Source organism: Homo sapiens, chromosome 21 (assembly GCF_000001405.40).
Source record: "Homo sapiens chromosome 21, GRCh38.p14 Primary Assembly".
NCBI lineage: Eukaryota > Metazoa > Chordata > Mammalia > Primates > Hominidae > Homo > Homo sapiens.
Genome location: NC_000021.9, coordinates 23,056,820 through 23,074,411, shown reverse-complemented (window position 1 = coordinate 23,074,411; position 17,592 = coordinate 23,056,820). Strand labels below are relative to the sequence as shown.

The 17,592-nt window shown below is 36.2% G+C and overlaps 2 annotated features.

The window, feature by feature from the left end:
- Positions 12,044-12,543: an enhancer, noted in NCBI's record as "H3K4me1 hESC enhancer chr21:24434191-24434690 (GRCh37/hg19 assembly coordinates)". NCBI's record gives its function as "activates a minimal SCP1, AML or CMV promoter by ChIP-STARR-seq in naive H9 embryonic stem cells {active_cell/tissue: H9 hESC(naive)}" and the evidence as "EXISTENCE:reporter gene assay evidence [ECO:0000049][PMID:30033119]".
- Positions 12,544-13,045: an enhancer, noted in NCBI's record as "H3K4me1 hESC enhancer chr21:24433689-24434190 (GRCh37/hg19 assembly coordinates)". NCBI's record gives its function as "activates a minimal SCP1, AML or CMV promoter by ChIP-STARR-seq in naive H9 embryonic stem cells {active_cell/tissue: H9 hESC(naive)}" and the evidence as "EXISTENCE:reporter gene assay evidence [ECO:0000049][PMID:30033119]".

Below are 17,592 nucleotides of genomic sequence, written 5' to 3'. Positions count from 1 at the left end.
TTAATTTATTAATTTAATTTTTATTTTATTTTATTTTAAGTTCCAGGATACATGTACAGGATGTGTAGGTTTTTTACATAGGTGAATGTGTGCCATGGTGATTGGCTGCACCTATCAACTGATCATCTAGGTTTTTTTTTGTTTTTTTTTTTTGAGACAGAGTCTCGCTCTGTCGCTCAGGCTGGAGTGGAGTGGCGCGATCTCGGCTCACTGCAAACTCCGCCTTCTGGGTTCACGCCATTCTCCTGCCTCAGCCTCCTGAGTAGCTGGGACTACAGGCACCCACCACCATGCCTGGCTAATTTTTTGGACGGGGTTTCACCGAGTTAGCCAGGATGGTCTTGATCTCCTGACCTCGTGCTCCTCCCGCCTCAGCCTCCCAAAGTGTTGGGATAACAGGCGTGAGCCACCGTGCCCGGCCCATCTAGGTATTAAGCCCAGCATGTATTAGCTATTTTTTCTGATGCTCTCTCTTCCCCTAAACCAAGTGACAGGCCCCAATGTATGTTGTTCCACTCCCTGTGTCTGTATGTTCTTATTGTACAGCTCCCACTTATAAGTAAGAATATGTGGTGTCTGGTTTTCTGTTCCTGTGTTAGTTTGCTGAGGACAATGGCTTCCAGCTTTACCCATGTCTCTGCAAAGAACATGATCTTTTTCGTTTTTATGGCTGCATAGTATTATATGGTGTATATGTACCATATTTTCTTTATCCAGTCAATCATTAATAGGCTTTTGGGTTGATTCCATGACTTTCCTATTGTGAATAGTGATGCAATGAACATATATGTGCATGTATCTTTATAGTTGTATGATTTATAGTCTTTTGGGCATATACTAAGTAATTGGATTGCTGGATCAAATGGTATTTCTGGTTCTAGGTCTTTGAGGAATCACACACTGTCTTCCACAATGGTTGAACTACTTTACATTCCCACCAACAGTGTAAAAGTGTTCCTGTTTCTCCACAACCTCACTACCATCTGTTGTTTCTTGACTTTTTAATAATAACCATTCTGACTGGCATGAGATGATATCTCATTGTGGTTTTGATTTGTATTTCTCTAGCGATCAGTGATGTCGAGCTTTTTATCATGTTTGTTGGCCACATAAATGTCTTCTTAGGAAAAATGTCTGTTCATGTCCTTCACCCACTTTTAATGGGGTTATTTGTTTTATTCTTGCAAATTTATTTATGTTCCTTGTAGTCTCTGGATATTAAACTTTCGTCAGATGGATAGATTGCCAAAACTTTCTCTCATACTGTAGGTTGTCTGTTTGTTCTGATGACAATTTATTTTGCTGTACAGAAGCTCTTTAGTTTAATTAGACCCCATTTGTCAATTTTTGCTTTTGTTGCAATTGCTTTTGATGTCTTTTTCATGAAGTCTTGGCTCATGCCTATGTCTTGAATGGTATTGCCTAAATTTTCCTCTAGGGTTTTTATAGTTTTGAGTTTTACATTTAAGTCTTTAATGTATCTTGAGTTAATTTTTGTATAAGATGTAAGGAAGGGGTCCAGTTTTAATTTTCTGCCTATGGCTAGCCAGTTCTCCCAGCACCATTTATTAAACAGGGAACACTTTCCCCACTGCTTGTTTTTGTCAGGTTTGTTGAAGAGCAGATGGTTGTAGATGTGTGGTCTTATTTCTGAGTTCTCTATTCTGCTCCATTGGTCTATGTGTCTGTTTTTGTACCAGTGCCATACTGTTTTGGTTACTGTAGCCTTGTAGTATAGTTTGAAGTTGGGTAGCCTAATGCCTCCAGCTTTGTTCTTTTTGCTTACGATTGTCTTGGTTACATAGGCTCTTTTTTGGTTCTATATCTTCCTGATACCAAAATCTGGCAGAGATACAAAAAAAAAAAAAAAGAAAGAAAGAAAGAAAGAAAGAAAGAAAGAAAGAAAGAAGGAAGGAAGGAAGGAAGGAAGGAAGGAAGGAAGGAAGGAAGGAAGGAAGGAAGGAAGGAAGGAAGGAAAGAAAGAAAGAAAGAAAGAAAGAAAGAAAGAAAGAAAGAAAGAAAAAAGAAAACTTCAGGTCAATATACCTGATGAACATAGATGTAAAAATCCTCAATAAAATACTGGCAAGTTGAATCCAGCAGCACATCAAAAACTTATCCACCATGATCAAGTCAGCTTCATTCCCAAGATGCAAGGCTGATTCAACGTACACAAATCAATAAACGTAATTCGTCACATAAACAGAACTAGACAAAAACCAAATGATCATCTCAATAGATGGAGAAAAGACCTTCAATAAGATTCAACATTGTTTCATATTAAAAACTCTCAATAAACTAGGTATTGAAAAGGAACATACCTTAAAATAATAACAAACCCACAGCCAATATCAGACTGAATGGGCAAAAATTGGACACAGTCCCCTTGAAAACTGGCACAAGACAAGAATGCCCACTCTCACCAATCCTATTCAACATAGTATTGGAAGTTCCAGCCAGGGCAATCAGACAAGAGAAGGAAATAAAGGATATTTAAATAGAAAGAGAGAAAGTCAAATTGTCTTTGTCTGCAGATGACATGATCCTATATCTAGGAAACCCCATCATCTCAGCTCAAAAGCTTCTTAAGCTGACAAGCATCTTTAGCAAAGTCTCAGGATACAAAATCAATGTGCAAAAATCACAAGCATTCCTACACACCAACAACAGACAAGCAGAGAGCCAAATCATTAATGAACTTCCGTTCACAATTGCTACAAAGAGAATAAAATACCTGGGAATACAGTTAACAAGGGAAGTAAAGGACCTCTTCAAGAACTAAAAACCACTGCTCAAGGAAATCAGAGAGGACACAAACTAAACGGAAAAACTTTCCATGCTCATGAATAGGAAGAATCAGTATCGTGAAAATGGCCACACTGCCCAAAGTAATTTACAGATTCAATGTTGTTCCCATTAAACTGCCAATTGATTTTTAAAGATTCATTTTTTTTGCCTTTTACTAGTGTCTTGTGCCTTCTTATTATTGAGTTTTAAGAACTCTTTTTATATTCTAAATAAAAGTTCTCCATAAGATACATGTATTGCAATTATTTTCTTCTAGTCTGTGGCTTGTCATTACTTTTCTTAGCAGTATTTAAAATAATAATTTCAGTGAAATCTAATATCAGAATTTTATTTATCTGTATGTTTGTTTATTATTAATTCTGCACTGTCTTTTCTGCTCCAAAGACCAATTTGTCCATTCTTTACCAGCACTGCACTACCTTAATTGTAACTTTATAAGAAATTATACATTCAGATGACGTAAATCCTGCAATTTTGTTATGTTTACTTCAAAATTATTTTGCTATGCTGAGCCACTTACTTTTTTTTTTTGTAAATAACCAGCTTGACAACTTGTACAAAATCATATTATGATTTTGGGTGATTGTATTGTGTTCATAGGTAAATTTGGAAAGAATTACAGCTTAAACATATTTCTATCCCAATCCATGAAAACACTGTATTTTTAATTTATTTATGCCTTTTGCAGTTGATCTAAAAATACTTTAAACTTATAGCTAAAAGACTTGCTCAGACTGTAAGCAAATTTTTCCCACAAATTTCTTATTTTTTATAAATGCAATTTTAATTTTGTTCTGTCGCAGTTGTTCTCTACTAGTATTGCCGTTTTCAATATTTTGCCTTCCATCTCATATTCATCTTTCATTTCTTCTCTGTGAGAGTGTATCACAGCAATTTAAATATTTTCTATTTGCCAGCTGTTAAGATGGTTAAGATGTTAATCTTTGTTAGTAAAAAGCACTGGTGGACATTGAATGAGGACATGAAGGTTCCAGTGTGTGCCAGCACCCATCTCCTATTGTATAGTTAATTTCTTCCACTGAGCACTTGCGATATATAATGGATCATCAGATCTCAGCAACTGCACATAGGCAATTTCTCCAGCACCAGGTTTCTGCAACATACACAGTAACTCTTGCACCAAGATCCTGAATTACATCTTTTATTGTGGAAAAGTTTCTATAACATATGCAGTTTCTACTGCACTAAATTCCAGTAGTAGCAAGGTTTCCATTTCCAAAACCAACGTTCTAGAGCATGTACATCTTCTCTTGTGCCAGGGTACCTTAGTATGGATGACATTTCCAGTACCAAGCTATATAGAATGTACAGATTCTCTCACGCTAGAGTCCTGCGGCAAAAATAGTGAGTTTCTAGCACCAAGACCCTAGCATGTGCAGTTTCTCTAATGCCCAGGTTCTATAACACAGATGGTATTTCCAGAACCATGCTTTTGCAGCATATGCAGCTCCCCTTGCATTAGAGTTTTGCAGTGCTTGGTGACCAGAAGGACCCATCTCCTATCACCTGCTGATAGGTGATATCTCTGCTGTGGGGTTTTGCAGCTGAGAACCTCTGAGGAGACCTGATCCCATGACCAAATTTCACTAGCATCAGAGAGGGTGGATTTCTAGCAAGTTCCTGAAGTGCGTTGCCAAAGAGATCTCCATGCCTTCCAGTGATCCATGGCAGTGCCCTATCCAAAAAAGTCCAGATTTCACCTCTAGGAGTAAAGAGGTGGTCTTTCATGGTGTTTTATCTCAGCCTTACGCATAGTAGCTGCTTCTTATATATGTAACTTGGTGAAAATGCATTGCCATATTTACATATTGCTGGATTTAGTTTTTTTTAATTTGAAAAAATGCATTTATGGCCGGGCACAGTGGCTCACACCTGTAATCCCAGCACATTGGGAATCCGAGGCAGGTGGATCAAGAGGTCAGGAGTTCGAGACCAGCCTGGCCAAGATAGTGAAACCCCGTTGCTACTAAAAATACAAAAATTAGCTAGGCGCAGTGGCGGGTGCCTGTAATTCCAGCTACTTGGGGGGCCGAGGCAGGAGATTTGCTTGAACCAGGGAGGCGGAGGTTGCAGTGAGCTGAGATCGCGCCACTGCACTCTAGCCTGGGCGACAGAGCAAGACTCTGTATCAAAAAAAAGGATTTATATCCTTGTAGTATGTTGCTCTTGCATTTACCCTCTTGGAATTTCTGTTTCAGCTGTCACAGTAATCCTGGTTTTACAACAGATTATAATTCTTGCCTCTTTTTCTGTTTTCTGGAAATGTCCATATAGAATTGGTACTCTTTATTTCCTTAAGTATTTGGTACAGTTTGTCATTAATGCTTTTTGGGTTTCAGGTTTCACTTTTGTGGTAAGATATTTAACTTAAAAATCCAATTTTTCCCATATATATAGAACTTTACAGATTATCTTTTCTTCTTGACTGAACTTTGACTTTTTTTTTATTTTTTATTTTTTTTATTTTTGAGACGGACTCTCGCCCTGTCACCAGGCTGGAGTCCAATGGCACGATCTCGGCTCACTGCAACCTCCGCCTCCCAGGTTCAAGCAATTCTCCTGCCTCAGCCTCCCGAGCAGCTGGGACTACAGGCACACGCCACCATGCCCAGCTAGTTTTTGTATTTGTAGTACAGATGGGGTTTCACCATGTTGGTCAGTATGGTCTCGATCTCTTGACTTCGTAATCCACCTGCTTCAGACTCCCAAAGTGCTGGGATTACAGGCGTGAGCCACCGCCATGCCTGGCCTGACAGTTTTTATCATTCAAAGTATGTACCCATTTTGTCAAAGCTGTCAAAGTTATTAACATTAATTTTTATTGTATTTATTATCATCTCTTTAATGTCACTAGGATCTGTAGCGATACCCCATTTTCATTACTGACATTGGCAGTTTGTTCAGTCTCTCTCTACTCCTAATCAGTCTGGCTAGAGATTTGTCCATTTTGTTAATCTTTAAACAACCATGATTATCTTTCTGTTTTTACTTTCATTGATTGCAGTCTTTTTCTTTATTTTATCCTTTTGCTTCTTGTCAAAAATGAAAATATACCTATTTAATCCGTAACTGTAATTGTTATGTTTTCTTTGTTATAATTTATAACTCTTGCTTTTAAATATAACTCATGATTGTCTTTAAAGTATCATTCAGGTAAGCATTATGTATTAATGACAATGCTTTAAGCAGTAAAAGTGTTTGTAAAATTTAGGCATACAAGTGACTCCAAGAAAGTACTAGGTTGGCAGACACTAGGTTGGATTGGCTTCCCAGTGATACTTCAGATCCACATTGACATCTCTATGTTTCTTTAACTTTTCTCTCATTGCCTCAAGATTCCTGAAACAACTCCAAGCATAATTTCAGCCTAGCCCATTATCCAAAGGGGGAAAGCGAAGGGTGGAAAATAAATTGAATTAGACAAATACTGCTCTCATTTTTTTTAAATCAAAATTTTTACACTCTCCATAAAGTCAACAATGGTTAGAACTGGTCATGCATGTAATGGCAAAACCCTGTCCCCACAATTTTTTTTTTTTAATTTACCTGGGCATTGTGGCGTATACCTGTAGTCCCAGCTACTAGGGAGGCTGAGGTGGTTGGATGGCATGAGAGTGGCAGGTTGAGGTTGCAGTGAGCCACGATACTGCCACTGGATTCCAACCTGTGCAATGGAGTGAGACTGTCTCATAATTAAATAAATAAATACATAAATAAATAAATAAATGAAAGGAAGAAAGAAAGAAAATAAAAAGAAAAATGAGTTAACTGGATGGTCAAGTAATAGTGTTTGCTTCACCCTAGAAGTGGAAATCAAACTATTAAATATTGAAGAACTTTGCTTATGCTGAATTTTGAATGAGTTTAATTTTTATTCATTAATTTAGCTAGTATGTTTTTTAGTTTTGTGTAAAATACTAAAATATTGAGAAAGAAAAAAGTAATAATTATTATTGATATTGTAGGAAAAATTTCAGGTAAAATATGGAGTGTATTTTTATTTTTCCCACATTAACCATGTAAAGAATTGCTCCATTTGGTTTAAGTTTTGTTTTACTCTAGTTTTAATCTTGTTGAGTTTAAGCATCTCTGCATGTTTGTGTATATTTGCTTTTGTGTCTGTGGAAAATGAATTTCTAATATATTACTTGTAAGTGATACCCAATAAGTACCAGCAACACAGTATTATTTTATTCTGCCTAGATAAATTTCTTCAGTATATTCTTCAACTCATCATGGTAGAAAGATGTAATTTCTGAGAGTTAAATATGGAATGCCATAAGAGATTATTAAAATTTAAACGTTTGATTTTGAATTTGGTGTTTGCTTGAATTTTAACTATTCTACAAAACAAAGAAAAATGATTTTCAAGAAATAATCATAGTATTTGTGTATTTGCATATTTATAGAAATTCTTGATTTAAATCATAAAAATAGGAACCTTTCCATGTATTGAATCTCTTCCCATTATTTAGTAAACTAATGAAAAAGAAGTTTTTATTGGAATTCTATAACTACTTTGACATATTCATTTATGATCTCATCCATGACTATTCTTAAAAGATGACAGTATCTATCAATACTCATTTCATAATAGTAAACTTTTCAAAATGCCACTTTAACACATCATTTATAATAAAATTATCTGAATGTTTTTCTTGACCTATACATTTAGAAAACATTTGGTCAATATAGAATTAGTACTTTAAATGTCTTTAAAGGTAAAAAGCTTATATGCTACACTATTCTAATATTTTCAAATCATTAGTTCTCTGAAAGCTAACTTATAAAGAGGAAAGCAAAATAAATCAGCTTTCAAAGGGTTCAGTGATTCTATAATTAATATTTCTTTACAAGATTAAAGATATTTTCATAAGTGGTTTTTTAAAGCTGAATGCTAGAAATCATTCTTTGAATTTGAATTAAAATACATTTGATTTTAATTTATTCTATTCCTCAAATATAAGTTTTTAAAACTATATAAGTTGCTTCATTTTTAATATTAAATGTGGGCTATTACTTCCATTCCAATGCAAGTGAGGCTTCTTGGCAGGGGGCTGAGGAAAGGTAGATTTTTTTTTTAAAAAAAGACACTAGGAACACATTGATTTATACAGCTAAATGCTAAAATTGGCGTAAAATCGCTATTTGTATGTAGGATTGACAGCATAGATGGTATGCCTTTAAGAAACAAAATATTGCAAGAAACTAAATAAATGTGGAACTACTGAGCTAAAACTAATAATGATGACAATAATAGGTATGACAGGCATAATGATAATCATGTTGCCTTTTCACGACAATCTTAAAGCACAGATAGCATTAAAGCTGCATAAATATAAGTACTTGGCTTAGTTTAGACACTTTAATCTCAATTTACACAGTATGATATTACTGCAAAATGATGAACTCATGAAATGCACATGAAAGTTGCTTTGGATAGAAAGTTGGAACCATGAGTCAGTCACTATTTAATTTGCAGATATTAAGGTAATATATTTCTTAAATTTACTATAGTTGATAATATACACACATTAAAAATTACAATGTTTTATAGATTTGAAGGAAGATGTGTTCTAGATGAACTCTTCAAGTTACCCAAGAGAAAATTTCCAAAACAGATAATTGTGTTCTACTTGATTCTCAGAGACCACTCAGGAAAGGAGCTGTTTTGAACTCTGAGTTCTAATTAACAAAAACATCCCCTTCACTTTCAAACAAATCCTGAAATTCTGGTGAATTCCCTTCTATGTCCTCATATAAATAGAAAACATTTTATTCTCTACATTTGAGTAAATACTCCAAAATTAGTTGATGATTCAAAATACATTTTCCCAGGCTAAAACATTTAAAGGTTTCCAAGCTACCGCATTGCCATGCCGACATAATGATTCTGTCTCCTTGATCTTTTACCTTCCTCTCAGATCCTGTTTAGCCAGGGGCTCTAAAGTTTTATTCCTCCAGAGTGAGTGTCAGCAGAATAGGTGATGTTATTAAGAAAGTTGGCACTAAAAGCACAGCCTAGAGGACAGAGCTGTCTTCTTGTCTATACATTATCATTGGAAGTTTGAAGCATATTAGTTGTCCTAGTTTAAGATCTTCCGAATGTAGAACCTGACACAACAATTGGTGTTTAAGATTTTTATTTGAGAAGTTATTCCAAGAAATATGCAGGGAGTCTGAAAATGATGCAGGAAGGGAGGAAAACCCATAGAGTTTCATAACTGGCAAGTTGTCTTCACGAAAAACTGGAACTCGATACCACTATTATACTCTTTACAGAAAAGAAGCTGGGCTATTAATCTACCAGCTCAAAAACCGCATCCCTTTAAGGACACTCCTAGGCATTAAAAACTCTGCACATGCGGCAGGCAGGAACATCTGACTACATTCTAGTGGCTAAAACACACCCTCAAGCAGAGAGATGCAGGGAGGGACACATCTGTCTTACAGTCTCTATCTATACTGGACCCGCAAACTAGGTGGGTGGGAGGAGTGCCCATTCAGATCCACAGGAGCCTCACATTAAGTTCTCATGGCCTGTGATAAAGTTATTCAAATCGTTTCATTTTAATCCTGAAGGTAATTCAAAAATAAAATGGAAAAAGTAAATAGAGAAACTTATACAAAAAAAAAAAAAAAAACACCTAGGACAACAACAAAGACTTGGAGTAGGTCTTGGTATTGCCAAAATAAAATTATTTTTAAGACATCACATGTATTTTTAAAACTTATATTTGGAGCAGGCATCGGCAAGAAAGTAAGAGACTAAGAAAAATAAGAACCTGATTGTATATAAGGATGTACAATAAGATACAACCGTTATTTCAGGCAATTAAATTACATGTAATTAAAAATATACAGGTGGGCCGGGTGCCGCAGCTCACGCCTATAATCCCAGCATTTTGGGAGGCCAAGACGGGCGGATCAAGAGGTCAGGAGATCGAGACAATCCTGGCTAACATGGAGAAACCCCGTCTCTACTAAAAATACAAAAGATTAGCCAGGTGTGGTGGCGGGCACCTATAGTCCCAGCTACTTGGGAGGCTGAAACAGGAGAATGGCGTGAACCCGGGAGGCGGAGCTTGCAGTGAGCCGAGATTGCGCCACTGCACTCCAGCCTGGGCGACAGAGCGAGACTCCGTCTCAAAAAAAATATATATATATACTTTTACATATATATACAGGTGGAAGATATTTAGTAAGAATATGGTGAAAACATTAGAATTGTAACATATTCCTCATTATTTAATTATTAAATATAGAAACTATAGCACATGTAAAATCAGAACACATATCGATATTTTACTTTGCAAAAAAAATCTTTTAAAATATAAACAAAGGAAGAAATCAAAGCTTTTCCACATTAATAAAGAAACTTAAAAATGAAAAACACAGAAAACAGAATTTTAAATGATGAAGACTTAATGATTCCATTCTTTTTAATTGCTTTCTGATTCGTATTTTTTACATGTGTCAATTATAAAATGTATTAGTATTATTGTTTAAGATACAAGAAACTACAAAGCAATGACAATATTTTAGAGCAATCAAGAATTATTGAAATAGGATATCTAAAAAAGTATGGATATGTGTAAAGAAGTGGCTAAGTTACTGAATAACTTTTAAAAGCAAAAGTTTTAAACTTAAGTAATGACAATTCAAATTTTTCTTCTGACAGTAAATAGCATTTGTGCTCCAGTAAGTCACTTAAGTATTTCCAGATCATACTTTTTCTATCTTAAATGAGACAACTGAATTGCATTGTAGTGAATTTAAGATGCAGTAAAAACAGCTTTAATGAAACTATGGCATCAAATAGACAAAGGAATTGATATCTGGTAATGAAAATAGAAGAATCTTGCTTAACAATTATCCAGAGCTTTGCATGAGCCTGTATAAATGAGGCATTTTGCAGAGCTTTGTAAATTGCACATTTAAAAAGTTATACTCAAGAATAAGGATACTCAAATAAATTATCACAGAGAAAAAGTGCCTTTTTAAAATTAACGCTGTTGCTTTTTCTTTGTAGTATAACTGTATGATAAATTATAATAAAATAGTCATTCTATTTTTATGTTCCAGACTGCATTTTCCAATTAATTAAAACTATTAATTTTTATTATGATTTGTTATTTCATGTAAATTTATCTTTTTCTTTAAAATTCAAACTAGGAATAGAAAATATGTTCAGAAAACTAGGTATATTTTACCGCTTTTTGAGGCAAGGGCAGAAAGACGTCATATTTGTAATGTTTCATGTAGTCAGCAGTTTACTGTTTATTTACTTTTTAATTCACAGTTGAAGAACAAAATCAGCAGTACAAAATAAATGCTTGCAAATAAAAAGTATAAGCAGAAGGCATTCACAGCTATTTAGAGTGAATTTTACACATTATCTTTTTAAAAATATGCTGCACATTGGATTGAGTTTTGCCCTAAATTTTATTCATTTAACATATTTATCATATTTAATATTATCATTTAAAAAGATATTTTGAATTTTACCTTTTCTATAAGACTGAGATTACCTATATCTTAAAGTGATAGTCGTTGTTTCAAAGTAAGCTAATTTGAAAAAAAACAAAAACAAAACTGGGTAAGTATTATATTACTGCTTAGGAAATTGCCATGAAACTATTATCTCACCCAATTTCTGAAGGAATCTAGCAGCAGCTGAGCTGTCTGGTTTTAGCTCAGCGCTTGTAAAAAGATCTCAGCTCTCCTCTGGAGCAGCAAGGATCTCAAGATCTAACTGCAGCTTCAGAATCTGCTTCCATGATCACCCACCTGAGGGCTGGCAGGCCACAGTTTCACAAGCTGTGCCTGAAAATGTTAGTTACTCACCAGCATATGATCCTATTCATACAGCTGCTCCAAAAATGACAGCTCATTTCTACTAGAAAGAGTAATGAGAGATAGAAAACTACAGAGAGAGGAAGAGAGAGAGAGAAGACGAGCAATATTCTGCCACGTGCTATTTAGCACATTGACAAACCCTGGTAAAATATGAGAGGGGACTCTTTAAAGATGTGAATGCCTTGAAAGGAAACTTTGGAGGCTATATTGGAGGCTTCTTATTCCGGTCCTTCCTGCTTTCAATTATATGTTTCTCCCATAAATGAAATACAATTACCTCCTCATAAAGGGCCTCCTAATGTCTTATCCCATTACAGCATCAGCTCAAGTCCGGATCTATATCTACACTCAGTACAGAAGTGAATGAGGCTCCTTGGGTATGGTTTCTTAAGTACAACCCCATGAATACAGTTTTTCTTCATCTCTGAAACTAACGTGACCAGTTGTCTGCTCTTAATGCACCCAATGTATAATGATGTGATTGGCATAGATAACATGTTTTAAAAAGGAAGGAAAAAGTAGTCATGTGTGCAAAGCTATATCTAAAATTCAGCAAGTCACATGCTGTAAATTCTGTAATTATATCTCAAGGCCAACAAATAATTTTTCTGGGCTCTTGGTTCCACCCTATGAGTCCTCCTTCCTATTTTTTTTTTTTTTTTTGAGACGGAGTCTCGCTCTGTCGCCCAGGCTGGAGTGCAGTGGTATGATCTCGGCTCACTGCAAGCTCCGCCTCCGGGGTTCACGCCGTTCTCCTGCCTCAGCCTCCCGAGTAGCTGGGACTACAGGCGCCCGCCACCGCGCCCGGCTAATTTTTTGTATTTTTAGTAAAGACGGGGTTTCACCGTGTTAGCCAGGACCGTCTCGACCTCGTGACCTCGTGATCCGCCCGCCTCGGCCTCCCAAAGTGCTCGGATTACAGGCGTGAGCCACCGCGTCTGGCCAGAGTCCTCCTTCCTTTTTAATGAAAGGTATCATGGGCTGCTTTTCACTCACTTGCTGCTGATAGAATTTTGTGGGACAAAAGCCCTCTTTTCATGTTGTGTTATCTTTGTCCTTTTCAGTTCAATACGGTATCATATCTCAATCTGGAATTCCTTTAAAAAGTGTGTAAATCTTATTAAGATCTGTACCATTAGATAAAATCCATGTTCATGATCTCTTGGGGATGAGACCTTCTTTACTTTGCATTTCATCTGGGAAGGCTGAGGGACAGTGACCTTATGGTTCTTAAAAGCTCTACTGTTTGACTGTAAGGAAATATGAGGCACACATTTTATCTCTTTAGAAGGCCTTTTGTCTGATATACAACCTTGATTTTTCTGAGGTCTCCACCAAAGATGTTTTAGTCACATCTTCAGCTTTATCTTTGGTCTGTGTTTTCCTAGGAGTATGTGTAACTTTATCTTTCCTCAGAAAGTTATCATCCTTTGTGAAATGAAAACACTAGAAATGTTCAAAACCATCAAGTGTTAATATTTTGTTTACCAGTCCTTCCTTTGTTTTATCTCCCTCCTCTGACATTACTATAAGCAACAACAGGAAACAAGGAAGCATGTTCAACACTGATTGGAAATCTCATTGGAAGATGATTCTCTATAAATAGTCTCTGGTATATCTGCATCTCTGACATCATTATCTCACATTTCTGAAGGTCAAAAATCAGAAATTTAATTCAATGGGCCAAAATCAAAATGTCAATCCAAATGTCAGAACAGCTGCATTTCTTTCTAGATCCTCTAAGGGGAATCAATTGTCTTGACATTTCCACCTTCTAAAAGCTGCTTATATTCTTTGGCTTATGGCCCCATTGAATCTTCAAAGCCATAAATGGCTGATCCAGTCTTTCTCTTACTAACTCACCCTAAGATTGAATGGTCTGCCTTCCTATTTCACTTATAAGGACCCTTGTAATTACAGGGTAATCCAGAATAATTTAGGATAATCCCTATCTCAAGATCTTTAATTTAGCCACTTCTGAAAAGTTACTTTTGCCATGTAAGACAGATAACGTATTCACAGGTTCCAGAGTTTAGAACATGGGTATCAATGAGAGGCCATTATTCTGCTTATGGTACTCCACTCTTTGGACTCCAAAGATTCAGTTCCATCCCACTTGCAAAATGCAATCACCCCACAGCAACATCTCCAAATTTTCAACCAATTAATGAATAAATTTAAATCCAAAATCTCATCTATGTGTGTTCAGCTCAAAGTCTCAAATCTTACTCTCTAAATCATCTAAATCAGGTATGAATAAAGCTCTGGATGTAATTAATCCCATCAGTGGGCTTGTGATACTAGAAAACAAGTTATCTGTTCCCAACATGCAATAGTAGTTGAGGATAAAATAGCAGTTATATATATTTCCTTTTAAAATGTGAGAAAATGAAAGAAAAACAAATATTCAACAGTCCAAAATTTTTAAATCCAGTTGGGCAAATGACACAAGGTCTCAAGACCTAGTAATAATGTTCTTTGATTCCTGGCTCTACTTGCTCAGAGGATGATAGCTCTGCCATTGGAGCCACCTCTTCTTTTTAAGAAATGCAGGACATGTTCTCAGCTAAGTAATATCCATTTTGTGCTTGTAGAATTTTGGGACCAACATTCTCTTATTATTTCTTCCTTTCTCAGTCTCTTTCTATCTCAGCTGGTAGAGTTTCTGCTGGTAAAAATTTGTTAAAACCCTTGTAAGTCTCCTGTATATGTCATGGGAATTCGCTCTGTTAGTCAAGATACTATCACACAGATATTTTCTGAATGATTTGTTTCTCTTCCTGTCTTCTTCCAGATAGCTGTGCTAGTCTCTGATTCACTAATATCTTTCAAGAGACTTCTATGTGAATAACACTGTAACTATTAGTTTCTTCTTAGGCACTTACAAAAAGCTTTCCAGTCAAATGCTAGTTTTAAAGTATGCTTTCTTGACAGTGAACCTCTAAATTTAGCATCTTTTGCAATCTGAATAGGCTCAGAATTTCTCAAATAATCAAGTTTTGGTTCTTTCTACTTCATAATTCTTCCCTCAGTGTATGTCTTTTCTCCCACATTTTACTATAAGCACCAAGAAGCAACCAGATCACAGCTTTAACATTTTCTTTGGAAATCTCTTCAGCTAACTATTCAAGTTCTTCTTTTACAAAGTTTGCTCTCGGCATAATTGTAGGACACTATCCCACTGAGCTTTCTGCCGCTATATAGCAAGTACCTCCCTTCCTCCTGTTTCCAATAACATATTTCTCATTTCTCACTGAGCCCTCAATAGCAATACCTTTAAGGTCCATATTTTTAACCATAGTCTGCAGAAAATAATTTAGCAATTCTCTAAGGTGACATATGATTTCTGTGCCATGATCATCAGTTTCTTCTGAAGTTTCACCAGCAAAGTCTTAAATGATTGTATTTCAACTACCAGTCAATACAAGCCCATCTAAGCTTTTTCTAGCACGATCATCAAAATTTTCCAGCCTCAGGCCATTTTTCAATTCCAAAGCCACTTTCATAGTTTTTTTTTTGTTTTAATTTGTTAGAGCAGCACACAACTTCTAGGTACTGTAGACTGTAACAGTTTCCTAAGACTGCTATAACAAGGTACCATAAACTTGGTGATCTAAAACAACATAAACGTATGATCTTACAGTTCTGGAGGGCAGAAGTCCACAATGGCTCTCACTGGGCTGAAATCCAAGTACAAGCGGGGTTGCCTTCTTTTCTGGAGGCTTTAGGGAAAAGCCGTTTGGTTTTTTTGTTTTGGTTTGGTTTTTGGGTTTTGCTTTTTTCAGCTCCTTCCATTTTCAAAACCAGCAATGGCCACTCAAGTCTTTCTCATGATACATCACTCTGACACTGACTCTTCTCCTTTCTCTCTTTCACTCTTCAGGAGGACCCTTCTTCTTACCTTGTATCCACCTGAATATTTCAGGCTAACCTCCCCATCTCAATATCCTGAACATAATTACACCTGCAGTATCTCTTTTCACAAGTAACGTTCTAGACATTAACACAAAGTCATTTTTGAGAGGAAACGTTATTTTGTCTACCACAGTTTGCTAACAGTTCTCTCATAAGATAGGGAGTTTTTTGGTTTTGTTTTTGTCTGTTTATTTGTTTTTAAAATAGTTCTTTCCCTGTGACAAAACTCTCTTCCTATGCAACATCACCCTGAGCCACTGCATCACCCCTGGGACTTGAGGAACAAGGAACATTGAAGCAAATGTGAAACTTGTGGTGCATTCAGTATTTTGAGGAAAAAAAGCTCTTTTTCTCTGACCTAGGAGTTGGATAGCTTCTGCTAGCATCAATGGAATTGTGGCAGTCTCCACTGTTAGCTTGCAAAGCAGAATAAGATTTCAAATGTGTCACAGTATATGACTACATTAGCCTGGTCAACCATTTATGACTTGCTAATTAACTTTAGTTAAGTATGGTATTGCTATGCTCTCTGCCATTATATTAAAACAATCTCCTTTCTCTAATTTCTAATAATGCCTGTCCCACTTTTCTGCAACCCTGTTATGCACAGCCTTATCCAAGAGCGTAAGTCTTCCATTAACAGTTCCCTCAAAGCACTCTGGGCTTTCACTGTAACTCTCCTCCAGGTCTACTTTCTAGTTTCAAACTCACTCTCACATTTCAAGTTTGTTTTCTTGCATCTCACTTTTGGTTCCAAACAGAAATTTTGGTTCCGAAAAAAATCAGCTTTCTTTTGCTGAATAATAAATTATCCTAAAGTATAGGAGCTTAAGACAACACATATTTCTTTTCACTTACAGTTTCTGTGGGTCAAGATTGAAATTCTTGGAGTAGCTTACGTGAGAACTTCTGGCTCTGGAAACTAAGAGATTGCGCCCAAACTGTTAGCTGGTGAGTCTGACACCTCAAAGCTCAAATGAGGCTTGTGAACCTGTATGCAAGATCCTTCATATGGGTTTTGGCAGACATCAGTTCTTTGGTGGCTCTTGGCTGTCACAGAATGGGTGATGAGAGCAACAGTGAGAGGAAGGGAGAGAGAGAGAGAAAGAGACAGAAAGAGAGAGAGCACATGCAATATGAAAATATCAAATATCAGTATTTTATAACCTAATCTTAGTAGTGACATATTTTACTTCTGCCATATATTATTTGACATCCAGACCAACTGTGGTACCATGTGGGTGCAAAATATCTGGAGTAAGATACATGAGGGCTCTCTTGAAAGATGAGCATTATAAACTGTATTCTTGGATACTATTATTCCAAAATTAGTCTTCTTTGTATATCAAAAATATTGATATTTTAAAATAATATTATTATGCAGAAACCATCTCTATCAAATATCTTTTGTTACATATCTAAGATAGAAGAAATCATTTTATACCTATACCAAGTAAATTTTTAAACTTTTAGGGTCACAAATAAAAGAAATATTTTAATAGCATATTCAGTTATCTGTATTAGTATATTTGCATATGGAATTATCTAAAATATATTCGTAATGTTAGATGGAAAAACCTGATTGAAAGTCTGAGTAACATGTGGCCCAGCGCGGTGGCTCACACCTGTAATCCCAGCACTTTGGGAGGCCGAGGCGGGCGGATCACAAGGTCAGGAGATCGAGACCATCCTGGTTAACACAGTGAAACCCCGTCTCTACTAAAAATACAAAAAAAATTAGCCGGGCGTGGTGGCGGGTGCCTGTAGTCCCAGCTACTAAGGAGACTGAGGCAGGAGAATGGTGTGAACCCGGGAGGCAGAGCTTGCAGTGAGCCGAGATCGCGCCACTGCACTCCAGCCTGGGTGACAGAGCAAGACTCCGTCTCAAAAAAAAAAAAAAAAAGAAAGAAAGAAAGTCTGAGTAACATGATTCATGGCACACAAGAATGATCAGTATTTGTCACTGGCTGGGTGACCATGAGCATATAG